Below are 27,371 nucleotides of genomic sequence, written 5' to 3' on the forward strand. Positions count from 1 at the left end.
GTATGTTTATTGCGGCACTATTCACAACAGCAAAGACTTGGAACCAACCTGAATGTCCAACAACCATAGACTGGATTAAGAAAATGTGGCACATACACACCATGGAATACTATGCAGCCATAAAAAATGATGAGTTCACGTCCTTTGTAGGGACATGGATGAAACTGGAAACCATCATTCTCAGCAAACTATCACAAGGACAAAAAACCAAACACCGCGTGTTCTCACTTATAGGCGGGAATTGAACAATGAGAACACATGGACACAGGAAGGGGAACATCACACACCGGGGACTGTTGTGGGGTGAGGGGAGGGGGGAGGGATAGCATTGGGAGATATACCTAATGCTAAATGACGAGTTAATGGGTGCAGCACACCAGCATGGCACATGTATACATATGTAACAAACCTGCACGTTGTGCACAGGTACCCTAAAACTTAAAGTATAATAATCATAATGAAAAATAAATAAATAAAGTATATTCCTCAAAAAAAAAAAAAAAAAGAAAGAAACTACCCAAAGTAAAGACGGAAACCCAGCCCCGTTCATGGCCCACTTAGCAGCCAACCCTTAGACGCTAAACCGCCCTAGACCCAGGAAGGCCAGAAGGCCGCCTTATTCTTAATATGCATCTTATCACCCAATCCACTCCTGACATTAGGAAAAAACTTCAAAAATTAGAATCTGGCCCTCAAACCCCACAACAGGAATTAATCGACCTCGCCTTCAAGGTGTATAATAATAGAGAGGAAGCAGCCAGACGGCAACACATTTCTAAGTTACAATTACTTGCCTCTGCTGTGAGAAAAAAACCAGCCACACCTCCAGCATTCAAGAACTTCAGAATGCCTAAGCCGCACACACCTAAGCTCAGCAGTCAAGCATTCCTACAAGACTTCCTCCATCACGATCTTGCTTCAAGTGCCAGAAATCTGGCCACTGGGCCAAGGAATGCCCGCAGCCCAGGATTCCTTCCAAGCCATGTCCTATCTGTGCAGGGACCCACTGGAAGGCAGACTGCCCAGCTCACCCGGCAGCCACTCCTAGAGCCCCTAAAGCTCTAGCCCAAGGCTCTCTGACTGACTCCTTCCCAGATCTGCTCGGCTTAGTGACTGAAGATTGACACTGCCTGATCGCCTCAGAAGCCCCCTGGACCATCACGGATGCCAAGCTTCAGGTAACTCTCACAGTGGAGGGTACGTCCATCCCGTTTAATCGATACGGGGGCTACCCACTCCACATTACCTTCTTTCCAAGGGCCTGTTTCCTTTGCCCCCATAACTGTTGTAAGTATTGACGGCCAAGCTTCAAAACCCCTGAAAACTCCCCTACTCTGGTGCCAACTTAGACAACACTCTTTTATGCACTCTTTTTTAGTTATCCCCACCTGCCCAGTTCCCTTATTAGGCTGAGATATTTTAACCAAATTATCTGCTTCCCTGACTATTCCTGGACTACAGCCGCATCTCATTGCCGCCCTTCTAACCCAAACCCTCCTTCGCGTCTTCCTCTCGTATCCCCCCACCTTAACCCACAAGTATGGGACATCTCTACTCCTTCCCTGGCAACCGATCACATGCCCATTACCATCCCATTAAAACCTAACCACCCTTACCCCGCTCAACGCCAATATCCCATCCCATAGCACGCTTTAAAAGGATTAAAGCCTGTTATCACTCGCCTGGTACAGCATGGGCTTCTAAAACCTATAAACTCTCCTTACAATTCCCCCATTTTACCTGTCCAAAAACCAGACAAGTCTTACAGATTAGTTCAGGATCTGTGCCTTATCAACCAAATTGTTTTGCCTATCCACCCTGTGCTGCCCAACCCGTACACTCTTTTGTCCTCAATACCTTCCTCCACAACTCACTCTTCCATTCTTGATCTTAAAGATGCCCTTTTCACTATTCCCCTGCACCCCTCGTCCCAGCCTCTCTTTGCTTTCACCTGGACTGACCCTGACACCCATCAGTCCCAGCGGCTTACCTGGGCTGTGCTGCCACAAGGTTTCAAGGACAGCCCTCATTACTTCAGCCAAGCTCTTTCTCATGATTTACTTTCTTTCCACACCTCCGCTTCTCACCTTATTCAATATATTGATGATCTTCTTCTTTGTAGCCCCTCCTTTGAATCTTCTCAACAAGACACACTTCTGCTTCTTCAGCATTTATTCTCCAAAAGATATCAGGTATCCCCCTTCAAAGTTCAAATTTCTTCCCCACCTGTTACCTACCTCGGCATAATTCTTCATAAAAACACATGTGCTCTCCCTGCTGATCGTGTCCGACTGATCTCTCAAACCCCAACCCCTTCTACAAAACAACAACTCCTTTCCTTCCTGGGCATGGTTGGATACTTTCGCCTTCAGATACCTAGTTTTGCCATCCTAACAAAACCATTATATAAACTCACAAAAAAAACCCTAGTTGACCCCATAGATCCTAAATCCTTTCCCCACTCCTCTTTCTGTTCCTTGAAGACAGCTTTAGAGACTGCCCCCACCCAGGCTCTCCCTGACTCATCCCCACTCTTTTCATTACACACAGCCGCAGTGCAGCGCTGTGCAGTCAGAATTCTTACACAAGGACCAGGATCGCATCCTGTAGCCTTTTTGTCCAAACAACTTGACCTCACTGTTTTAGGCTGGCCATCATGTCTCTGTGCAGCGGCTGCTGCAGCCCTAATACTTTTAGAGGCCCTCAAAATCACAAACTATGCTCAACTCACTCTCTACAGCTCTCATGATTTCCAAAATCTATTTTCTTCCTCACACCTGACACATATACTTTCTGCTCCCTGGCTCCTTCAGCTGTACTCACTCTTTGTTAAGTCCCACAATTACCATTGTTCCTGGCCCAGACTTCAATCCAGCCTCCCACATTATTCCAGATACCACACCTGACCCTCATGACTGCATCTCTCTGATCCACCTGACGTTCACCCCATTTCCCCACATTGCCTTCTTCCCTATTTCTCACCCTGATCACACTTAGTTTACTGATGGCAGTTCCACCAGGCCTAATCACCACTCACCAGCAAAGGCAGGCTATGCTATACTATCTTCCACATCTATCATTAAGGCTACCGCTCTGCACGCCTCCACTACCTCTCAGCAAGCCGAACTAGTTGCCTTAACTGAAGCCCTCACTCTTGCAAAAAGACTACACGTCAATATCTATACTGATTCTAAATATGCCTTTCATATTCTGCACCACCATGCGGTCATATGGGCTGAAAGAGGTTTCCTCACTACACAAGGGTCCTCCATCATTAATGCCTCTTTAATAAAAACTCTACTCAAGGCCGCTTTACTTCCAAAGGAAGCTGGAGTCATTCACTGCAAGAGGCATCAAAAGGCGTCAGATCCCATTGCTCTAAGCAACACTTATGCTGATAAAGTAGCTAGACAAGCAGCTAGCTTTCCAAATTCTGTCTCTCACAGCAACACTTATGCTGATAAAGTAGCTAGACAAGCAGCTAGCTCTGCAACTTCTGTCCCTCACGGCCAGTTTTTCTCCTTCACATCAGTCACTCCCACCTACTCCCCCGCTGAAACTTCCACCTGTCAATCTCTTCCCACACAAGGCAAATAGTTCTTAGACCAAGGAAAATATCTCCTTCCAGCCTCACAAGCCCATTCTATTCTGTCGTCATTTCATAACCTCTTCCATGTAAGTTACAAGCCACTAGCCCGTCTCTTAGAACCTCTCATTTCCTTTCCATCATAGAAATCTATCCTCAAGGAGATCACTTCTCAGTGTTCCATCTGCTATTCTACTACCCCTCAAGGATTGTTCAGACCCCTCCCTTCCCTACACATCAAGCTCAAAGATTTGCCCCCGCCCAGGACTGGCAAATTGACTTTACTCACATGCCTCAAGTCAGAAAACTAAAATATCTTAGTCTAGGTAGACACTTTCACTAGATAAGTAGAGGCCTTCCCCACAGGGTCTGAGAAGGCCACCGCAGTCATTTCTTCCCTTCTGTCAGACATAATTCCTCAGTTTGGCCTTCCCACCTCTATACAGTCTGATAGCAGACCAGCCTTTACTAGTCAAATCACCCAAGCAGTTTCTCAGGCTCTTGGTATTCAGTAGAACCTTCATATCCCTTACAGTCCTCAATCTTCAGGAAAAGTAGAAAGGACTAATAGTCTTTTAAAGACACACCTCACCAAGCTCAGCCACCAACTTCAAAAAGATTAGTTAGTACTTTTACCTCTTGCCCTTCTCAGAATTAGAGCCTGTCCTCAAGATGCTACAAGGTACAGTCCATTTGAACTTTTATATAGACGCACTTTCTTGCTTAGCCCCAACCTCATCCCAGACACCAGCCCTCTAGGCGACTATCTTCCAGTCCTCCAGCAGGCTAGACAGGAAATTCACCAAGCTGTAATCCTCTCTTGCCTACTCCAGATCCCCAGCCATAAGAAGACACCCTAGCTAAACGATCAGTTCTTGTTAAAAATCTGACCCCTCAAACTCTACAACCTCGATGGACCGGACCCTACTTAGTCATCTATAGTACCCTGACTGCCGTCCGCCTGCAGGATCCTCCCCACTAGGTTCACCATTCCAGAATAAAGCTGTGTCCATCGGACAGCCAGCCTAATCCCTCCTCTTCCTCCTGGAAGTTGCAAGTACTCTCCCCTACTTCCCTTAAACTCACTCCTATTTCTGAAGAACAGTAATAACCCTTATGAGCCTAATACATCCCTTCATTCTATTAGGTCTGTTCGTCCTTACCCTACTTTTTGCAACAAAGAAGTTACCCCCACCACTTAGGCCGAGCCCCAAAAAACTTGTCATCCATACTATTTTCTGTCTAGTCATACTCCTATTCTCCGTTTTCAACTACTTATAAATGCCCTACTCTTGTTTACACTGCCAGTTTACACTGTTTCTTCAAGCCATCACAGCTGATATCCCTTGGTGCTATCCCCAAACTGCCACTCTTAATTCCCTCTTAAAGTAAGTAGATGATCTTTGCTGGCAGGGCACCCTCCAATACTTCCACCCTGATGAAGTTCTATTCTTTACTTTTATACTCACTCTTATTCTCATTCTCATTCTTATGCCACCCTTTACCTCTCCCCAGCTATCTCCACCACACTATCAACCTTACCCATTCCCTCCTAGCCACCTCTAATCCCTCCTTAGTGAACAACTGCTGGCTTTGCATTTCCCTTTCTTCCAGTGCCTACACAGCTGTCCCCACCTTACAGACAGACTAGGCAACATCTCCTGTCTCCTTACACCTCCAAACTTCCTTTAACAGCCCTCACCTTTACCCTCCTGAAGAACTCATTTACTTTCTAGACAAGTCCAGCAAAACTTCCCCAGACATTTCACATCAGCAAGATGCCGCCCTCCTCCGCACTTATTTAAAAAACATTTCTCCTTATATTAACTCTACTCCCCTCATATTTGGACCTCTTACAACACAAACTACTATTCCTGTGGCCGCTCCTTTATGTATCTCTTGGCAAAGACCTACCGGAATTCCCCTAGGTAATCTTTCACCTTCTCGATGTTCCTTTACTCTTCATCTCCGAAGCCCAACTACACACATCACTGAAACAATTAAAGCCTTCCAGCTCTGTATTACAGACAAGCCCTCTATCAATACTGACAAACTTAAAAACGTTAGCAGTAATTATTGCTTAGGAAGACACTTACCCTGTATTTCACTCCATCCTTGGCTACCTTCCCCTTGCTCATCAGACTCTCCTCCCAGGCCCTCTTCTTGTTTACTTATACTCAGCCCCAAAAATAACAGTGAAAGGTTTCTCGTAGATACTCAACGTTTTCTCATACAACATGAAAATTGAACCTCCTCCTCTACGCAGTTACCCCATCAGTCCCCATTACAACCTCTGACAGCTGCCGCCCCAGCTGGATCCCTAGGAGTCTAAGTACAACACACCCCTCTCAGCACTCCTTCTCACCTTTTTACATCTCCAGTTTTGCCTCGCACAAGGTCTCTTCTTCCTCTGTAGATCCTCTACCTACATGTGTCTACCTGCTAATTAGACAGGCACATGCACACTAGTTTTCCTTACTCCCAAAATTCAATTTGTAAATAGCACCAAAAAGCTCCCTGTTCCCCTCATGACACCGACATGACAAAAAAAAAGACTTTCTGCCTTCACTATTGCTCTCAGTATTAGAATAGCAGGCATTTCAACCTCTGTCATGACCTTCCGTAGCCTGTCTAATGACTTCTCTGCTAGCATCAGACATATCACAAACTTTATCAGTCCTCCAGGCCCAAGATGACTCTTTAGCTGCAGTTGTCCTCCAAAACCACCGAGGCCTTGACTTACTCACTGCTGGAAAAGGAAGACTCTGTATATTCTTAAATGAAAAGTGTTGTTTTTACCTAAATCAATCTAGCCTAGTGTATGACAACATAAAAAAACTCAAGGATCGAGCCCAAAAACTTGCCAACCAAGCAAGTAATTACGCTGAACCCCCTTGGGCACTCTCTAATTAGATGTCCTAAGTCCTCCCAATTCTTAGTCCTTTAATACCCATTTTTCTCCTTCTTTTATTCGGACCTTGTATCTTCCGTTTAGTTTCTCAATTCATCCAAAACCGTATCCAGGCCATCACCAATCATTCTATGCGACAAATGTTTCTTCTAACAACCCCACAATATCACCCCTTACCATGAGATCTCCCTTCAGCTTAATCTCTCCCACTCTAAGTTCCCACGCCGCCCCTAATCCTGCTTGAAGCAGCCCTGAGAAACATCGCCCGTTCTCTCTCTCCATTCCACCCCCCAAAAATTTTTGCCGCCCCAACACTATTTTGTTTTATTTTTCTTGTTAATATAAGAAGGCAGGAATGTCAGGCCTCTGAGCCCAAGCCAAGCCATCGCATCCCCTGTGACTTGCACGTATACGCCCAGGTGGCCTGAAGTAACTGAAGAATCACAAAAGAAGTGAATATGCCCTGCCCCGCCTTAACTGATGACATTCCACCAAAAAGAAGTGAAAATGGCTGGTCCTTGCCTTAAGTGATGACATTACCTTGTGAAAGTCCTTTTCCTGGCTCATCCTGACTCAAAATCTCCCCCACTGAGCGCCTTGAGATCCCCACTCCTGCCTGCCAGAGAACAAACCCCCTTTGACTGTAATTTTCCTTTACCTACCCAAATCCTATAAAACAGCCCCACCCCTATCTCCCTTCGCTGACTCTCTTTTCAGACGCAGCCCGCCTGCACCCAGGTGATTAAAAGCTTTACTGCTCACACAAAGCCTGTTTAGTAGTCTCTTCACACGGATGCACGTGAAATTTACCACATTTGAAAAACATATTGCATTACAGAGGAGTGAGTGGGTGGCAGAAAGGAGGGCAGAAATAATGGCCACACTTAAAGATCTAAAGGATGGGTGGTTCCTATCACGTCTCCATTTAATTCTCCGGTCTGGCCTGCAGAAGCCAGATGACACTGAATTTAACTAGAGTTTAGAGCCGACTTAACTAGCTCATAGCCCTGGTGGCGCTGTTGCACCAGACGTGGTATCTTTGCTAGAGCAGGTAAATATGGCCTCAAACACACAGAATGTAATCCTTTGATGAGGCTAAGGTCTCCTCTAGCCCAAATCTTAATGTAATCATGGGCATGATATCTCATCACATTTGCTGTATTCTACTAGTTAGAAGCAATTACGATATCTTGTCTATTCAGGCTGCTAACAAAATACCTTAGCCTGAGTACTTTATAAACAATAGAAATTTATTTCTCGCAGTTCTTGGGCTGTGAGGTCCAAGATCAAGGTGCCAGCAGATCTGGTGTCTGGTGAGGGCTGGCCCTCTGCTTCCACGATGGAGCCTCGTTCCTGTGTGTTCACGGGGCAGAAGGGGCAGGGGTGCCTTTTGACCTCTTTTATAAGGGCACCAATTCCATTTGTGAGGGTGGAGTCCTCATGACCTAAACACCTTCCAAATCCCCACCTCTTCATGCTATTGTATCGGGCTGCAACCTTCAACATTTGAATTTTGGGGGATACCAATATTTAGACTGTAGCACACAAATCCCACCCACAATCAACAGGGGAGATTATACAAGGACATGAATACCTGGAAGCAGGGATCATGGGGTTCCCTTAACGTCTGTCTACTACACCTTCTAAAATAAAAGACAGGCTGAGCACCGGGGCTCACGCCTGTAATCCCAACACTTTCAGAGGCCGAGGCAGGAGGACTGCTTGAGCCCAGGAATTCGAGACCCCATGTCTACAAAAAATTTAAAAAATTAGCCAGGTGTGGTTGTCAGGCCTCTGAGCCCAAGCCAAGCCATCGCATCCCCTGTGACTTGCACGCATATGCCCAGATGGCCTGAAGTAACTGAAGAATCACAAAAGAAGTGAAAATGGCCTGTTCCTGCCTTAACTGATGACATTATCTTGTGAAATTCCTTCTCCTGGCTCATCCTGGCTCAAAACCTCCCCCACTGAGTACCTTGTGACCCCCACTCTGCCTGCCAGAGAACCCCCCTTTGACTGTAATTTTCCTTTACCTACCCAAATCCTATAAAACGGCCCCACCCCATCTCCCTTTGCTGACTCTCTTTTTGGACTCAGCCCGCCTGCACCCAGGTGATTAAAAGCTTTATTGCTCACACAAAGCCTGTTTGGTGGTCTCTTCACATGGACGCCTATGAAATTTGGGGCCGTGACTCAGATCGGGGGACCTCCCTTGGGAGATCAATCCCCTGTCCTCCTGTTCTTTGCTCCATGAGAAAGATCCACCTACGACCTCAGGTCCTCAGACCAACCAGCCCAAGGAACATCTCACCAATTTTAAATCGGGTAAGTGGCCTCTTCTTACTCTCTTCTCCAACCTCTCTCACTGTCCCTCAACCACTTTCTCCTTTCCACTCTTCAATCTCTCCCTTCTCTTAATTTCAATTCCTTTCATTTTCTGGTAGAGAGAAAGGAGACACGTTTTATCCATGGACTCAAAACTCCAGCGCCGGTCACGGACTAGGGAAGGCAGCCTTCCCTTGGTGTTTAATCATTGCAGGGGTGCCTCTTTGATTATTCACCCAGGTTTCAGAGGTGTCAGACCATGCAGGGACGCCTGCCTTGGTCCTTCGCCCTTAGTGGCAAGTACCCCAACCCCTTCTCTCCGTGTCTCTACCCATTCTCCACCTTTCTGCGGGGCAAGAAACCCCAACCCCTTCTCCTTCACCCTGAGTGGCAAGTCCCGCTTTTCTAGAGGAGGGGCAAGTACCCCAACCTCGTATCTCTGCACCCCAATCCCTTATTTCCATGCCCTGACCTCTTATCTCTGCACCACATGCCTTATTTCCACACCCCGACCTCTTATCTCTGCACCCCAACCCCTTATTTCCACGCCCCAACCCCTTTCCTGCTTTTCTGGAAGGTAAGAACTCCCGAACCCCTTCCCTCCATGTCTCTACTCTCTTTTCTCTGGGCTTGCTTCCTTCACTATGGGCAACTTTACACCCTCCATTCCTCCTTCTTCTCCCTTAGCCTGTGTCCTCAAAAACTGAAAACCTCTTCAGCTCTCACCTGACCTAAAATCTAAGCATCTTATTTTCTTCTGCAATGCCACTTGACCCCAATACAAACTTGACAGTAGTTCCAAATAGCTGGAAAATGACACTTTCAATTTTTTCATCCTACAAGATCTAAATAATTCTTATCGTAAAATGGGCAAATGGTCTGAGGTTCCTGATGTCCAGGCATTCTTTCACACATCGGTCCCTCTCTAGTCTCTGTTCCCAGTGCAACTCATCCCAAATCTTCCTCCTTTCCCTCCCACCTGTCCCCTCAGTCCCAATCCCAAGTGTCGCTGAGCCTTTCTAATCTTCCTTTTCTACAGACCCATCTGACCTCTCCCCTCCTCCCCAGGCTGCTCCCTCGCCAGGCCGAGCTAGGTCCCAATTCTTCCTCAGCCTCCGCTCCTCCACCCTATAATCCTTTTATCACCTCCCCTCCTCACACCTGGTCCAGCTTACAGTTTCATTCCGTGACTAGCCCTCCCCCACCTGCCCAGCAATTTACTCTTAAAAAGGTGGCTGGAGCTAAAGGCATAGTCAAGGTTAATGCTCCTTTTTCTTTATCCCAAATCAGATAGCGTTTAGCCTCTTTTTCATCAAATATAAAAATCCAGCCCAGTTCATGGCTCCTTTGGCAGCAATCCTGAGACGCTTTACAGCCCTAGACCCTAAAAGGTCAAAAGGCTGTCTTATTCTCAAAATATATTTTATTACCCAATCTGCTCCCAACATTAAATAAAACTCCAAAAATTAAATTCCGGCCCTCAAACCCCACAACAGGATTTAATTAACCTTGCCTTCAAGGTGTACAATAATAGAAAAAGGTTGCAATTCCTTGCCTCCACTGTGAGACAAACCCCAGCCACATCTCCAGCACACAAGAACTTCCGAACGCCTAAACCGCAGTGGCCAGGCGTTCCTCCAGAACCTCCTCCCCCAGGAGCTTGCTACAAGTGCCAGAAATCTGGCCACCAGGCCAAGGAATGCCTACAGCCCAGAATTCCTCCTAAGCTGCATCCCATCTGTGCGGGACCCCACTGGAAATCGGACTGTTCAACTCACCTGGCAGCCACTCCCAGAGCTCCTGGAAGTCTGGCCCAAGGCTGACTGCTTCCCAGATCTTCTTGGCTTAGCGGCTGAAGACTGACGCTGCCCGATTGCCTCAGAAGCCCCCTAGACCATCAGGGACGCCAAGCTTCCCATAACTCTCACAGTGGAAAGTAAGTCCATCCCCTTCTTAATCAATACGGAGGCTATCCACTCCACATCACCTTCTTTTCAAGGGCTTGTTTCCCTTGCCTCCATAACTGTTGTGGGTATTCACGGCCAGGCTTCTAAACCTCTTAAAACTCCCCAACTCTGGTGCCAAATTAGACAGTACTCTTTTAAGCACTCCTTTTACTTATCCCCACCTGCCCAGTTCCCTTATTAGGCTGAGACACTTTAACTAAATTATCTGCTTCCCTGACTATTCCTGGGCTACAGCCACACCTCATTGCCACCCTTCTTCCCAATCCAAAGCCTCCTTTGCGTCCTCCTCTTGTATCCCCCCACCTTAACCCACAAGTGTAAGATACCTCTACTCCCTCCTTGGAGACCGATCATGCACCGCTTACCATCTCATTAAAACCTAATCACCCTTACCCGGCTCAACGCCAATATCCCATCCCACAGCACGCTTTGAAAGGATTAAAGCCTGTTATCACTCGCCTGCTACGGTATGGCCTTTTAAAGCTATAAACTCTCCTTATAATTCCCCTGTTTTACCTGTCCTAAAACCAGACAAGCCTTACAAGTTAGTTCAGGATCTATGCCTTATCAACCAAATTGTTTTGCCTATCCACCCCGTGGTGCCAAACTCATATACTCTCCTATCCTCAATTCCTCCCTCCACAATCCATTATTTTGTTCTGGATCTCAAACATGCTTTCTTTACTATTCCTTTGCACCCATCATCCCAGCCTCTCTTCGCTTTCACTTAGACTGACCCTGACACCCATCAGGCTCAGCAAATTACCTGGGCTGTACTGCCACAAGGCTTCACAGACAGCCCCCATTACTTCAGTCAAGCCCAAATTTCTTTCTCATCTGTTACCTATCTCAGCATAATTCTCATAAAAACACACGTGCTCTCCCTGCTGATCATGTCCGATTAATCTCCCAAACCTCAATCCCTTACAAAACAACTCCTTTCCTTCCTAGGCATGGTTAGTGTGGTCAGAATTCTTACACAAGAGCCAGGACCGCACCCTGTAGCCTTTCTGTCCAAACAACTTGACCTTATTGTTTTAGCCAAGACATCATATCTCCGTGCAGCGGCTGCTGATGCCCTAATACTTTTAGAGGCCCTCAAAATCACAAACTATGCTCAACTTACTCTCTACATTTCTCATAACTTCCAAAATCTATTTTCTTCCTCATACCTGACGCATATACTTTCTGCTCCCCGGCTCCTTCAGCTGTACTCACTCTTTGTTAAGTCCCACAATTACCACTGTTGCTGGCCCAGACTTCAATCTGGCCTCCCACATTATTCCTGATACCGCACCTGACCCCCATGACTGTATCTCTCTGATCCACCTGACATTCACCCCATTTCCCCATATGTCCTTCTTTCCTGTTCCTCACCCCGATCACACTTGATTTATTGATGGCAGTTCCATCAGGCCTAATCGCCACACACCAGCAAAGGCAGGCTATGCTATAGTACAAGCCACTAGCCCGCCTCTTATAACCTCTCATTTTCTTTCCATCATGGAAATCTATCCTCAAGGAAATAACTTCTCAGTGTTCCATCTGCTATTCTACTACTCCTCAGGGATTATTCAGGCCCTTCCCTACACATCAAATTCGAGGATTTGCCCCCACCCAGGACTGGCAAATTAGCTTTACTCAACATGCCCCGAGTCAGATAACTAAAATACCTCTTGGTCTAGGTAGACACTTTCACTGGATAGGTACAGGCCTTTCCTACAGGGTCTGAGAAGGCCACCGCAGTCATTTCTTCCCTTCTGTCAGACATAATTCCTCAGTTTAGCCTTCCCACCTCTATACAGTCTGATAACAGACCAGCCTTTATTAGTCAAATCAGCCAAGCAGTTTTTCAGGCTCTTAGTATTCAGTGAAACCTTTATATCCCTTACGGTCCTCCGTCTTCAGGAAAAGTAGAACAGACTGAAGGTCTTTTAAAAACACAACTCACCAAGCTCAGCCACCAACTTAAAAAGGACTGGACAATACTTTTACCACTTTCCCTTCTCAGAAGTCAGACCTGTCCTCAGAATGCTACAAGGTACAGCCCATTTGAGCTCCTGTATAGACGCTCCTTTTTATTAGGCCCCAGTCTCATTCCAGACACCAGACCAACTTAGACTGTGCCCCCAAAAAACTTGTCATCCCTACTATCTTCTGTCTAGTCATACTCCTATTCACCGTTCTCAACTATTCATACATGCCCTGCTCTTGTTTACACTGCTGGTTTACACTGTTTCTCCAAGCCATCACAGCTGATATCTCCTGGTGCTATCCCCAAACTGCCACTCTTAACTCTGGAAGTAAATAAATAATCTTTGCTGACAGGACTATGCTGAATCTCCTTAGGCACTCTAATCAGATGTCCTAGGTCCTCCCAATTCTTAGACCTTTAATACCTGTTTTTCTCCTTCTCTTATTCCATTTAGTTTCTCAATTCATACAAAACTGTATCCAGGCCATCACCAATAATTCTAAATGACAAATGTTCCTTCTAACAACCCCACAATATCACCCCTTACCACAAAATCTTCCTTCAGCTTCATCTCTCCCACTCTAGGTTCCCACACGGCCCCTAATCCCGCTCAAAGCAGCCCTGAGAAACATCGCCCATTCTCTCTCTCCATTCCACCCCCCAAAAATTTTTGCTGCCCCAACACTTCAACACTATTTTGTTTTATTTTTCTTATTAATATAAGAAGGCAGGAATGTCAGGCCTCTGAGCCCAAGCCAAGCCATGGCATCCCCTGTGACTTGCACGCATACGCTCAGGTGGCCTGAAGTAACTGAAGAATCACAAAAGAAGTGAATATGCCCTGCCCCGCCTTAACTGATGACATTCCACCACAAAAGAAGTGAAAATGGCCTGTTCCTGCCTTAACTGATGACATTATCTTGTGAAATTCCTTCTCCTGGCTCATCCTGGCTGAAAACCTCCCCCACTGAGTACCTTGTGACCCCCACTCCTGCCCGCCAGAGAACAACCCCCCTTTGACTGTAATTTTCCTTTACCTACCCAAATCCTATAAAACGGCCCCACCCCATCTCCCTTCACTGACTCTTTTTGGACTCAGCCCGCCTGCACCCAGGTGATTAAAAGCTTTATTGCTCACACAAAGCCTGTTTGGTGGTCTCTTCACATGGACGCACATGAAAGTGGTGATGCACACCTGTCATCCCAGCTACTCCCGGGGCTGAAGCTGGATCACTTGAGCCCTGGGGTTCCAGGCTGCACTGAGCTGTGATCACACAACTGCACTCCAGCCTGGGCAACAGAGCAAGACCCTGTCTCTAACAAATAGAATAAAAAGGCAATTGCTAGGCCAGGCATGGTGGCTCATGCCTATAATCCCACCACTTTGGGAGGCCAAGGTGGATGGATCACCTGAGGCCAGGAGTTCAAGACCAGCCTGGCCAACATGGAAAAAACCCATCTCTACTAAAAATACAAAAAAAAAAAAAAAAAAAAAAAAAGCTGGGCATGGTGGTGTGTGCCTGTAATCCCAGATTCTCAGGAGGCTGAGGCGGGAAAATCGCTTGAACCTGGGAGATGGAGGTTGCAGTGAGCCGACATTTCACTCCAGCCTGGGTGACAGAGCAAGACTCCGTCTCAATTGCTGCATCTTGAGTCTCCTATTGTTGCTGTTGTGAGACCTTGGTTCTCATCTTCTTAGTTTAAAATAATTTAAACAAGAGACACACAGCAGAGGAGAGGTAACAGAGTAATTTATTGCAAAAGAAAAAGAATATTCTGAAAGTTAGATGCCGAATAGACAGTACACCCTGAGAGAGAGAATTCGGGGTGGGCTGCTTGTGAGGATGAGACAGCAAAGACTGGGACTAGGTGTGAGAAACAAACTCGCCTGTCCAAACCCAAAGGATGGACTCAAGAGACCCGGAGAACAGCGGAAGTGGGACTCTTAATGATGGTCTTGTAAGCTCGGGTGTCTGATGAGTAGGCACACCCAGCACGGTTTCAACAAGCAATTTATCCCCTAGTGCACAGGTCTCTCCCCCGTTTCCTCATAGGCTGAGTACTACGGGTCACAGTCTTCCCAGACATCGCCTATCAGTTGTTGGGTTGGGGCTGTAGGTGTTTTATTTTGGGGGGTTGTCCTGCTGCATTTTGTTGCAGCCCAAGCATCTTCCATGGAAGAGGCACTGAACCACCAGGCAGACAAGATCACTCAACCCACTGATGGGAGCCAGCCTTAGTGGCTACACCAACCCAACAAAGACAGGCACATGGACGGAGCGGCCACAGCTGAGACAGAGGGCAGGCATGAGGCCAACAGTGTGGACTGCAACCTCCCAAAACCATCTGGCTCCTTCTCTTATCTGAATGTCCAACCTGCCAGCAACAGGAGACCAGCATCCCACTGCCAGTGTGGCCCAGGTTCACAGGAGACCAACCAGCCACTTGACAGCAAGTGGACCCACTGGGCCTCTTTCATTCTGGAAAGGCCAGTGGTTTGCACAAAAATAGACATCTCTTCTAGGTAGGAGTTTGTCTTTCCTGGCTCCAGGGCCTCAGTTGGCATCACTGTCCAAGCGCTTAAGGAATGTCCTGTTCATCGGCGTAGAAGGGCTCACAACATCACTTCTGATCAGGGAAGCCACTTTGCAGTGAAGGAGATGTGGGAAAGGGTCTGTGTCCCTAGGATCTACTCATTGCGTCTCATTGTTCGGAAGCTGCTGGACTGGCTGGGTGTTGGAGTGGCCTCCCACACGGAGAGCTGAAGCAATGCCCTGTAACTACAGGCCCCGTCATCCCGGATGGCATGGGGACATTGAGTCAGAGGCCTTCATATGGCACTGTGTTCTCAGCAGAAAGCACACATAGGTCTGGGAGCTGAGGGGTGGGAGCAGGGCGGCCCACTCAGCATCACTCCTGGTCACCCCTGTTTGTGTTTTCCATCTCCCCAGTCTTGGCTCTGCAAGGTTAGCGGTTCTGGTTCCAAAGGAGGTGTTTGCTTGCCAGAGGACAGAACTACAAGCTGTAGCTTCCACCAGGGTACTGCAGGCTCCTTTTGGCCCAGCCAGCAAGCCGTAAGAGGAGCCACCCTCTTAGTGGGGGTGGCTGGCCCTGAGCAGCAGGGGGACATGGGGGCTGCTGTCACCTGAGAGCAGGCGGCAGAGAGGAATACATGTGGGACTCAGACACCCGACGTGGGCAGGTGCTTCTTGGCACCCCCTCTTCCGATTATGACCGGAAATGGATCTGAATAGCAACTCTGACCCCAAAAGGGCATGGTTAGCAGGGACTCACAGGGGCTCACAGTCTTCAGGAACATAGGGCTTGGGTCCAGCCACCAGATGCACCTGATGCCAACAGGAGACAGCTGAGCGCCAGGGCAATTTAGAACAGAAAGTAGAGGCGGGGACAAGAGGGACCACTGTGTTCCCAGATGAACGCAGTTGGCTATGGGGCTGTCATTTTTTCCATTAATTTCCCTCTTCTAAATACACAGAGAGAGGGGCCCTGGAAGGGTGGTTTCCCACATGTGTGGAAAAGGGGATCCGGCCAGTGCAAGGGCGGATAATGGCAGACACAGGGTAGAATCAGACCTCCTTAGACAGAGGATGCTCTGCCCAGCAGCTGCGAGGCATGTGGTCAGGGGCAGCCCCCAGCTGCCAGCTCCCCCAGGGTTTGCCTTCCCAGCTCAGCACAGCCAGGGACTGAGCAAGGCAGCAGGACCAAGGTCACTCTCTTATGGGGCGCTCCCCCCAAGTGCTAAGCCCAGCCATCTCAGGCCAGCACGGGGCTGTTCTGCTGGCCAGCCTTCACCCTGCACTCCTGGCTGGGCGGGGAGCCTTTCTCGGATCTGAGTTGTGGATTGCAGCATCCCTGCCCGACCCTTCTCCCCAACGAAGCTTCGCACTGCCAACGCCGTCCGCGAATTTCCACGGCACATCAAAGAGGGCAAAAAATGAGGGGAAGGAGGGCAAAGAACACAGAGACAGTGGGCGGCGGGTCCAGACCCACATCTGTGTAACTGAATTCACTTCATTAGATATAAATGGAGGCCGGGCATGGTGGCTCACACCTGTCATCCCAGCATTTTGGGAGGCTGAGGCGGGCAGATCACCTGAGGTCAGGAGTTCAAGACCAGCCTGGCCAACATGGCAAAACCCCGTCTCTACTAAAAATACAAAATTAGCCAGGCGTGGTGGCAGGGGCACCTGTAATCCCAGATACTCAGGAGGCTAAGACAGGAGAATTGCTTGAACCCAGGAGGCAGAGGTTGCAGTGAGCCCATATTGCACCACTGCACTCCAGCCTGGGTGAGAGTGAGACTCCATCTCAAAATATATATATATAGACAAAATGCTCCAATTAAAAACAAATATTGTAACATTGAGTAAAATATTATATTCGATCGTATGCTACTTATAAGAGACACGCACATAGAAAGTCACAGAAGGGCTGAAGGGGACTGAAATCATACGCCACGAAGATGCTAAATGAGCAGAGCTGATGTGGCACTATTAACTACTGACACCAAAGGAGGCTGCGAGGGAAGAAGAGTTACCAGAGTAAAATACAGACATTTCATCAGCATTAAGAGGGCCAGTCCACCTGGACCATGTAACAGTTCTAAATGTGTGTACACCTAATAAACCTGGTCTTAGAACACAAAGCAAAATCTTACAGATGTAAAAGGAGTGGGAAATTAGGATGTAGACATCTGGGTGAGGGCCATTATCCTGCCTACAACCTATGGGTTAGTTTTCTCAGATGTAAATCATACCACAGCCAGGCATGGTGGCTCATGCCTGTAGTCCCAGCTACTTGGGAGGCTGAGGTGGGAGGATTGCTTGTGCCCAGGAGTCGGAGGCTGCAGTGAGTCGTGATCATGCCACTGCACTCCAGCCTGGGCAACAGAGCGAGACCCTGACCCTAAAAATAAGTAAATGATAAATAAATAAAATCATACCACAGTAAAATTGATCTTCTCTTTTTCAAAGTGACCGAAATCCTCTTGGAAATGTAGAAACACTCCTTGATAATCTTTGCCATGAAATGAAAGCTACCAACTCTCTCGGAAGCATTAAGAAGAAGCACACTTCTTCACAAAGTAGACAGCACACGGCAGAGTGGGGGCCAGAAGACGTGGCTCACCTCAATGCCTGCCTTGTTCTAGAATTTTTTTTTTTTTTTGAGTAACAGCTCTTCATTTTAAGAAACTGGAAAAAGAACAACAAAATATACCAAAAGAAACTCAGAAAAAAGATAAGATACAAAGATAAAAAGCTGCAAATGTGGAAAGAATAAAGTGAGACATTATAGAACAGCTTTGAAAGCTGCATACAGGTATTTAAGGCTGTATGCACCCTGATGCACAGCAGCGTTATTCATCGGGCAAAAAAAACCCATCAAACCATGAAACAAAAACACCCACCGCCTGGGGAGCACTGGATGCCGCGGAGTTTTATGCAGCTTTTAAAAAGAATGATTTGAACGTCTGGTTAAGGTGGCGCTGTGCATTCACACTTCGGCCCTTCGTCTCCACAGACAAGATAAACACAGCACATTCGACATGGCCCGGAGGAATGATCCATGGCCTCGACAAAGAGAAAACTAAGAAGACATTGCTGGGCTCAGAAGGAAAGTAAACATCTCCCAGGACCAGATGTGGAGTAGATGGGAGTTGGAGAGAAGCTGAAGCCCAGGCCCAGCACCAGGCTGGGGGCCCAGGTGCTACGGAGGTCCCAGCCATTAACAGAGCTTCGTGCAGGTGGGCAGCTGGAGCCAGGGGGGCTCACTCTCTTGTGAAACAGGCAGAAAAACAGGCCAAACTCTGCTGGGGGCTGCAGCCTTTAGGGAGCAGCTGGTCTCCCGAGGCAAAAGGACACACACGTTGTGGAGGCCAGGAACTGGACCAGCCTGTCGGGGGCTTGGTAACTCCATCCAGAACATCCTCAGGGTCTCCACAAGGCAGACACAGCACAGTACCACAGGAGATGGCTGGGACAAAGAACCAGGAGCTGGAGGGGTGAGGCGGTAGGGGGGCAGCAATCCTGAAACAATGAGAACAGGGAAGAGAAAGAAAAGTCATACCAGCTCGGAAGAGCTTGCAAACCGATGTTCCAAAACACGCCCAGAATTCTAATGTTCACAAAGTTATCCAGTCAATAATTAGAATCCACTGCAGATGAAATTAATTTTGTAGAATAGTCTGATAAAGACTAAAATAAATGTGCTTGGAAGGCTCAAGGAGAGAAATGAAGAAACCTAGAACTGAAGATACGGTTCCCCAAACAGGAAGGAAGGAAAGAAGGAAGGAAGGAAGGAAAGAAGGAAGGAAGGAAAGAAGGAAGGAAAGAAGGAAGGAAGGAAAGAAGGAAGGAAGGAAAGAAGGAAGGAAGGAAGGAAAGAAGGAAGGAAGGAAGGAAAGAAGGAAGGAAGGAAAGAAGGAAGGAAGTAAGGAAAGAAGGAAGGAAAGAAAGGAAGGAAAGGAAGGAAGGAAGGAAAGAAGGAAGGAAGGAAAGAAGGAAGGAAAGAAGGAAGGAAGGAAAGAAGGAAGGAAAGAAGGAAGGAAAACAAAAAGCTTAAAAAGAACCAATTAGAAATCTTGAAAATAAAAAATGGTCACTGAAATAAAAAACGCGCCTCAATAGACAGGCTAAACTCTAGACTAGACATAGGTGGAGAGCTGATGAATTGGAAGCCAGTGCTGAGAAATTCAGCCAGAACCCTGCATAAAGAGAAAAAAGTTCTGAGAGGAGGGAAGGGCTGCTACGCAGTCTGAGGAGAGATCCAGAAGACCATGGAGAAGCAGTATTTGAAAAAATATTAGCCCTGAATTTTGCAGAATTAGGGAAAGGCATGACTCCTCAGCTTGAAGCTGGGGTTTGAATACAAAGTAGGATAAAGGATAGTCTCAACCCTTGCCCAGTTGTCACTGGATATCAGAGACAAAATGCCATTTTCCAGAAAGTGTGTAAAACGTGGTCTCATTAAAGAAAGAACAAGTGAGCACAGGGCACATCCTCCGGAAGATTCTATGATGGTGTGAGCCTGGGGTGAGCACAGAACACACGGCAGGTGGTTCGTCTGGGTTCCTAGGGGAGGACGGCAGGGCTGGAGGGGACCCAAAACAAAGCCCAGAAGCCGCCCAACCATGTGAAATCATGAAATGTGGTAACTACTTAAAAATGTGGGCCAGGCGCAGTGGCTCACACCTGTAATCCCAGCACTTTGGAAGGCCAGGGTGGGCAGATCATGAGGTTAGGAGTTCGAGACCAACCTGGCCAATATGGTGAAACACCATCTCTACTAAAAATACAAAAATTAGCCAGGTGTAGTGGCAGGTGCCTGTAATCCCAGCTACTCGGGGAGGCTGAGGCAGCAGAATTGCTTGAACCTGGGAGGCAGAGGTTGCAGTGAGCTGAGATTGCGCCATTGCACCCCAGCCTGGGTGACAGAGCGAGATTCTGTCTCAAAAAAAAAAAAAAAAAAGTGTAGTTACAGCTGGGCATGGTGGCTCATGCCTGTAATCTCAGCACTTTGTGAAGCTGAGGCGGGTGGATCACTTGAGGTCAGGAGTTCAAGACCAGCCTGGCCAACATGGCAAAACTCCATCGCTACTAAAAATACAAGCATTAGCCAGGTGGGGTGGTATTAGCCTGTAGTCCCAGCTACTCATGAGGCTGAAGCAGGAGAATCGCTTGAACCCAGGAGGTGAAGGTTGCAGTGAGCCAAGATTAGACCGCTGCACTTCAGCCTGGGCCACAGAGCAAGACTCTGTCTCAAAACAAACAAACAAAAAAACAAAGTGTAGTTACTGAAACATCAAGTATCGGCATACTTTCTTTAGCATCTCTTGCAGTGAAAATCAGCTGGAAAAGAATTCTCCCAGCTTTTGTTTACCTGAAAAGGTCTTTCTTTGGCTTTCATTTTTGTAGAACAGTTTCACTGGAAATAATCATGATGACAGCTTTCATTTTCTTCCGGCACTTTGCATATGTTGTTTCATTTTCCTCCAGGCACATATTGTTGTTCCCCTGTATATAATGTATTGTTTTTATTCTCTTGCAGTTTTCAAGCTTCTCTGTTTGTCGTTGGGTTTTAGTAGCTTGTCTACGATGTGTCGAGGTTTTTGTCTGTTTGCTTTATCTGACTTGAGGTTCACTGAGCTTCCCGAATCTTCAAGTTAATGTTTTTAATCAAATCTGGGAAATTTTAAGCCATTATTTCATCAAATATATGTATTTTTCCTTTCTTTTCTTCTCTCCTCTCCTTCTGGGATTCCAATTACATGCATGTTGGACTGCTTGATACAGTCTTGTGGGTCTCTCAGGATATATTTCTTTTTCTTGGTAAAAAATGAAGTCTTTTTTCTCTATGTTCTTTGCATTAAATACATTTTATTGACCTATCTTCAAGGTCATGGATTTTTTCTCCTACTGTCTCCAATAAGCTATTGAGCCTATCCAGTGAAATTTTTATTTCTGTTGTTTTAATTTTCAGCTTGAAGAATTTCCATTTGATTCTTTTTTGTAGCTTCCATTTCTTTGTTGAGGTTCCCCTCTGTTTATTCATTAAGACTATATTTTACTTTAATTATCTGATCATATTTAAAATAGCAGCTTTGAAGTCTTTGTCTATGAAATCTAACCTTTGGGTCCATTCAGAATCCACTTCTATTCACTGTCTTTTTCCTAAATATGGATCATACATTCTTGTTTCTTTGTATGTCTAGTTATTTTTTGTTGGTAACTGGACATTGTAGGTAGTATTTTGTAGCAACTTTGGATTCTGTTATGTTCTTCTGAAGATTGTTGGGTTTTGTTCCAGTAGGCAGTTAACTTGCTTGATCTGAAACTGTAGAGTCTGCCTCCTCCACAGTGTGTAGTGGCTGATGTCTCTGCTCAGCTTTTCAACTTCCAGCTGTAGTCTTTGTAGCCAACCCTTTGCACCCGTATGCTCAATATTTAGCCAAGGATTTGAGCAGAGTTTATGTTCAGATTTGGCAGCTCACCCTCTCTGTAGTTCCCTTGCTTTGGGGGTTCACCCTTAATTTTCCAGCTGCTCAGCCAGCCCTACACTTTGTCTTCTGACACCTCAAACCAATAAGGATTCAACTTTCTGCCATGCATGCTGTGCATGATTTGGGGAATACATGCACTCAAAGGAGCAGAAAACTCACGAATATCACCTAGTCCTCTTATATCTTTCAGGGTAGACTCCTCTCTCATATCTCCCTCATTTTTCACCAAGCTTCCTCAAGTCTCTGATACGTGTTTGTAGTTTGATGGCCATCCAAGGATTGGGGCAGAGTTTAGACTCAGATTTGGGTCTCACCCCTTCTACAGCTCTCTTGTTTCAGGATTTCTTCCCTACATTTCCAGCTCCTCTGCCAGCCTTGTCCTCTGTATTCTCCCACCTTGAGCTTGGAAGACTGTGGCGCCATGGCCATGACTGTGGGGTTAGGAGCGTGCTGAGGCAAAGGGCTGGCCTTTAATTGCCTGCATCAGGTCATCATTGGCTGTGATTTCCGTCAGCTGAGGGCACTTCTGTATTGAGGGGAAAGCAGTGAGAGGTTAACAGCCAATGTTCACAGCAGCTGGGGGCTAGGGTGTACTAGGCTGGTCTAGGAGATTTGGGCAGGTACCAGTGGTAGTGAGAAAGAGTCCGTTCCAACTCTGCTTTGGAGATAAGTTGGGGCCAATTGCCCTGAAATTAGATTCCTCCAAAGAATCTCTGCTATGTGCCCCACTCGTGACCCTCCTTTCTGCTTGCCTCCTGACATATTCTTTGTTTTTTTTTTTCTGGAGACAAAGTCTTGCTTTGTCACCTAGGTTGGAGTGCCGTGGCCCCATCTTGGCTCACTTCAGCCCCTGCCTCCTGAATTCAAGCAATTCTCATGCCTCAGCCTTCCAAGTAGCTGGGATTACAGGCACACACCACCATGCCCGGCTAATTTTTGTATTTTTAGTAGAGATGGGGTTTCACCATGTTGGCCAGGCTGGTCCCTAACTCCTGACCTCAAGTGATCCATGCACCTTGGCCTCCCAAATTGCTGAGATTATAGGTATGAGCCAACACGCCCGGCCCTCCTGACATGTTCTTTTTAAACCAAGAGGGAAACTGAAGTTTTCTCTCTGAGAACCCACACCTCTGCTTCTGGGTCCCTGGGGCTGAGGGATCACTATGAAAAGCTTTATTTCAGGGGATCTGACTTCTCAGCCCCATCAGTCCCATGAACTTTTGCCAACGTCCTTTCTCAGGAATGAAATTAAGCACCCAGGTTTTGTTTCACATAATTCAGCCAGACCCTGCCCCTGCCCCCAAGGGCTTCCTCTGCTCCTGGATGGAGAGAAGATACACAGAGAAAGCACCCAGATGAGTGGCTTCCTTGATGGGGATTTAAAATATTTTATTTTCATAGAATTTCTAGTGCCATAAAAAGGTATATATTTGATTGTTTTGCTTTAATTAATTTATTTATTTATTTTTGAGACAGTCTCACACTGTCGCCCAGGCTGGAGTACAGTGGTGCGATCTCGGCTCACTACAACCTCTGCCTCCCAGGTTCAAGTGATTCTCCTGCCTCAGCCTCCTGAGTAGCTGGGTTACAGGTGCACACCACCACGCCTGGCTAATTTTGTGTTTTCAGTAGAGATGGGGTTTCACCGTGTTGGCCCGGCTGGTCTTGAACTCCTGACCTCAAGTGATCCACCCCCCTCGGCCTCCCAAAGTGCTGGGATTACAGGTGTGACCCACCGTGCTCAGCTTTTGCTTCCTTTTAAAAAGCATTTTGGATTTTAGGGTCTTTCTTTTTCTATCGTGGTATTTCTCCAGTGGAGCCCCCCCTCTGAGTTCTGACCCCAGTTCTTCCATGACATCAGCATTTATCCCTGTTGATAAGCTGCCACATCCTTTAAAAATCAGCCCACCTAAAATGTTCTACCCCAGCAACTCTGTTCTCACCTTTGAAAAGAGCACCCGACTACTGAATGCCAGGAAAAAGCGCATCCTTTTGAGAGAAATGCATATAGCCAAGGATGGAAATCCTGAAAGCAGATGTAAAATCCCCTCCACGTAGAAAATCATAGGCACCAGCGATGCTATTAGATATGTATGACTAATTGCGGTTAATACTCGCTGCTGTCAATTAGCCTCATTAGCACAAGCAATTTGAGCACACGACATTACTTTAATTACCACAAGCAGTTTGTTCATTTGTGGAGAATGTGCATTTCCAAAAAGGTTGCGCTATTTGGAAATTAATCCTAATCTCTTGCATTGTTAAAAATTCAGGCAGATAGGGGAGAAAAAAACTGTAAGCAAAAAAAACTGTAAGCATCCTTGCATTTACAGATACAAAAATAAAAGTGACGAACGTTACACAGTCATTTTTACTATTATTTTTCTACTATTTTATTTTCTCTGCTAAAGCGGACTAGGGTCATTGTAAGCTTTCTTTTCTGAAATCTATGCGTGGGAGGTAAAATGACTGGCATTAGAGCTCAGCCGAGACATTAAGCCCATTAAGGGAGGCAATGCAGAAAAGCCTTCAAATCTGAGCTTTTATTCAACTCACCCCGGGGCCGGGAAAGGGCCGGCGAGGACAGCCCCACCCCACCATACCTTCAACCTTCTTGCTGTGTCCCAGCGAGGACAGTTTCACTCCCACCGGACCCTCCAAGCCTCTTGCCCACGGCTGTGTCCTGGCCGCTGCTTCCTGCCTGGGCCCTGGAGTGCTCCGAGGACCCCTCCCCAAATCCCAGCCACCGCCGCCCTGTTTGGCGTCTCTGATGGAGAGCTGAGCTTCCTGTGTCCTCGGAGCCTGCAGGGATCAGCACCCGCCACGGTAGCTCCCCTTTCCCGCCTGCTCTGCTGGATGCTGGGTTTCAGTCCAGGTCCTTCGGGCGCCCTGGAACCCTCTTCCGCTCCCCGACCTGGGCCTGTCATGGGCCACTTTAGGGCCCTGGATGGCGGCCCTGCTCCCTGGCGCCGCATCAGCCATCCGTGGCAGACTCCCGCCATCCGGATTCTCCCTTTCCTGCCGGCACCTCTCTTCTTGCGAGTGGCCCAGAAGCAGGGGTGGTCGTTCCGCTGGCTCCTGCTGCACACCAGGCCCTGGGGACATCGTGGCCCTGGGGACATCATGGTCCCTGCCTCCATGGAGCTGACGCTCTAGAGGAGCCGGACACAAAAGGCAAAATGAAAGCACGCGAGCTTCATCATCAGCCAGACTACAGGCTTAAAAGAGCGTTGGCGCCACAACTAAAATTCAACTGGCGGTGGGCGCGGTGGCTCACACCTGTAATCCCAGCACTTTGGGAGGCCGAGGCAGCTGGATCACCTGAGGTCAGGAGTTCGAGACCAGCCTGACCAACATGATGAAACATCTCTACTAAAAATACAAAAAAAATTAGTTGTGTGTGGTGGCCGGTGCCTGTAATCCCAGCTACTTGGGAGACTGAGGCAGGGAGAATTGCTTGAACCCAGGAGGTGAAGGTTGCAGTGAGCCGAGATTGCACCACTGCACTCCAGCCTGGGCGACAGAGCAAGACTCCGTCTAAAAAAACAAACAAACAAAAAAATAAATGGAGCTGTAGTTCATAGGGACCCACTCGATGAATTTCTTGGCATGTGTGCCCCTGCAGAGCGGCTCCCAGAACATCAAGCGTCCCGAAGTCCCCACCCTGCTCCTTCCCTGTCCCCCTCCCGAAGGCAGCCCGGCCGAGGGCAAGGCTTGGTGGCTCCCGGGCTCCCGTGCTCTGAGCCTGTGCAATCCTCGTGGGGTGGTGGGTGGCAGGTGGCCGGAGCGCTGCTGTCTTCGTTGCTCTGCAGTGTTCCATCCACCAAGTGAGCACAGTGTATTTTTCCATTCTGGTGGGAATGGTGACCTGAGTTACAGAAACAAAAAATGTTCATCTAAACAGTACTTTTAGGTGGCCACTAGGCTCTCCGGACCCAGGTCACAGCCAGCGCCCATCCTCACCCAGTGCAGTCTTGGGCCGGCTCCCTCCCGTCTTGCCCCCTGGCCTGTTCCAGGGCCCCTGAGAGCAGCTCCTGGCCATGCCATCTCCCATGGTGTCCCCAGGCCGGCACTGGCCCCCTGGCCCGTCCGCTGTGGGCTGGTTGCTAAGCCCCTCCCCAGGGATTCTGATGGCAGTGGCTTCTGGCTCCCAGCAGCAGCTGGGGCTGGCCAGCGGGGGAAGTAGAGGTAGGAGCTGCCTCTCCATGAGAAGGGCCTCTGAGAGGTAAATTCCCTACCCACAAAAGGGGCCCCTGGCTTCTTGAAGGACCTGCCTGTCCTGGTGGGGCCCCAGTTGAACGGCCACCTCTCCTGGACCAGGGCTCCCACTGGGCCAGCCAAGCCCTGGCCTGATGCTGTGAGGCAAAATGACTCACATTAGAGTTTAGCCAGACAGGAAGCCGGGAGGACATGAAGCCCCCAGCGTCCCCAGTTTAGCAGGCAGGGACCGCAGAGGGAGGGAGGGAGGGAGGGAGGAGAGAGGGCCCATCTCCGCTGCCGTGAGTGCCTTCTGTGGGCAGACGAACTCCTCCCTCGCGTTTGTCCTGCAAGGTGACATTTTAAGGCCCAGACACAATTCAGTTTTTATCGAGCAAGTGTCAACATGCTAGACAGGAATTTTGTAGTCTCCTGCCACTGTTCCTACCCGGGGACACAGAGTCCCAGAACAACGTGCTGTGTTCTCGCCGCATCCTTGCACCAGGAAGCAACCTGTGGGGGAGTTGGCTCTGAAAACGAGGGCAACACGGTGTGCCCAAGGGTGGGATTCTGGTGGCAGTCGAGTGTTTCTTCAGGTGGGCACCCTGCTGCCTAGGGGGCTGTGCCAGGGCCGGGAGGACCCTCACATCAGACAGGAGCTCCGTGGACAGTGCCCCACCAGCCGGGCTCCTTAGGAGAGTGTTCCAGGAAACGGCAGGAGCCCAGGTCAGCAGGGGCGTCTGTCCTGACCTGGCTGTGCCCTCTGACCTGACCTAAGTTGTCTCCCACAATGTGGGGGCAGTTTGAGCCCCTCCAGGGAGATGGTCCCCAGGCCCCCTTCATCTCCCCAGAGGAGGTGGGAGGTGGCTCAAGGCTTGTCCGTCACTGGGAGGGTATGGGAGTCGGGCCCCACCAGGAAGGGGGTAGGAAGGGGCCGCAGACGTCCTGCTCACCAGTGCCCCCTGGGACACCCTGGCCTTGGCGGCTAAGGGACCATGAAGGCTTGCTCTTAGATCCGTGTCACTTGTCCCCAGCCTCCTGAAAGACAGCCCTCATGACAGTCCAGCTCAGTATTCTGCCCCAGGGCACGTGCAATTTTAGGAGATGTTTTTGGTTGCCACACAGTGGGGAATGGGGAGGCTGTTGCTGACATCAGTGAGTGGAAGCTGGGGGGCCGTTCATGTCCTCCCAGGCATGGGACAGCCCCTCACAGCAGAGAACCATGTGGCCCCCAGTGTCAGTGGTGTGGAAGCAGAGGCACCTTGGCCTAATGGATCTACATCTGGGGCTACAGGTGGAGAGAAAGAAAAAGGAAATGAAAGCAGAGGCGCAGAAAGCAGCCCAGCCTCTGCCGTGCTGGGCCTCCTGGAAAGGAGAAGAGGGCGGGCTGG

At 48.2% G+C, this 27,371-nt stretch overlaps 4 annotated features.

Moving 5' to 3' along the window:
* Positions 6,733-7,322: an enhancer, noted in NCBI's record as "OCT4-NANOG-H3K27ac hESC enhancer chr11:68399697-68400286 (GRCh37/hg19 assembly coordinates)". NCBI's record gives its function as "activates a minimal SCP1, AML or CMV promoter by ChIP-STARR-seq in naive and primed H9 embryonic stem cells {active_cell/tissue: H9 hESC(naive and primed)}" and the evidence as "EXISTENCE:reporter gene assay evidence [ECO:0000049][PMID:30033119]".
* Positions 7,323-7,911: an enhancer, noted in NCBI's record as "NANOG-H3K27ac hESC enhancer chr11:68400287-68400875 (GRCh37/hg19 assembly coordinates)". NCBI's record gives its function as "activates a minimal SCP1, AML or CMV promoter by ChIP-STARR-seq in naive and primed H9 embryonic stem cells {active_cell/tissue: H9 hESC(naive and primed)}" and the evidence as "EXISTENCE:reporter gene assay evidence [ECO:0000049][PMID:30033119]".
* Positions 7,912-8,500: an enhancer, noted in NCBI's record as "NANOG-H3K27ac hESC enhancer chr11:68400876-68401464 (GRCh37/hg19 assembly coordinates)". NCBI's record gives its function as "activates a minimal SCP1, AML or CMV promoter by ChIP-STARR-seq in primed H9 embryonic stem cells {active_cell/tissue: H9 hESC(primed)}" and the evidence as "EXISTENCE:reporter gene assay evidence [ECO:0000049][PMID:30033119]".
* Positions 26,632-27,304: an enhancer, noted in NCBI's record as "H3K4me1 hESC enhancer chr11:68419596-68420268 (GRCh37/hg19 assembly coordinates)". NCBI's record gives its function as "activates a minimal SCP1, AML or CMV promoter by ChIP-STARR-seq in naive H9 embryonic stem cells {active_cell/tissue: H9 hESC(naive)}" and the evidence as "EXISTENCE:reporter gene assay evidence [ECO:0000049][PMID:30033119]".

Source organism: Homo sapiens, chromosome 11, assembly GCF_000001405.40.
Source record: "Homo sapiens chromosome 11, GRCh38.p14 Primary Assembly".
In the NCBI taxonomy this organism is placed as follows: domain Eukaryota; kingdom Metazoa; phylum Chordata; class Mammalia; order Primates; family Hominidae; genus Homo; species Homo sapiens.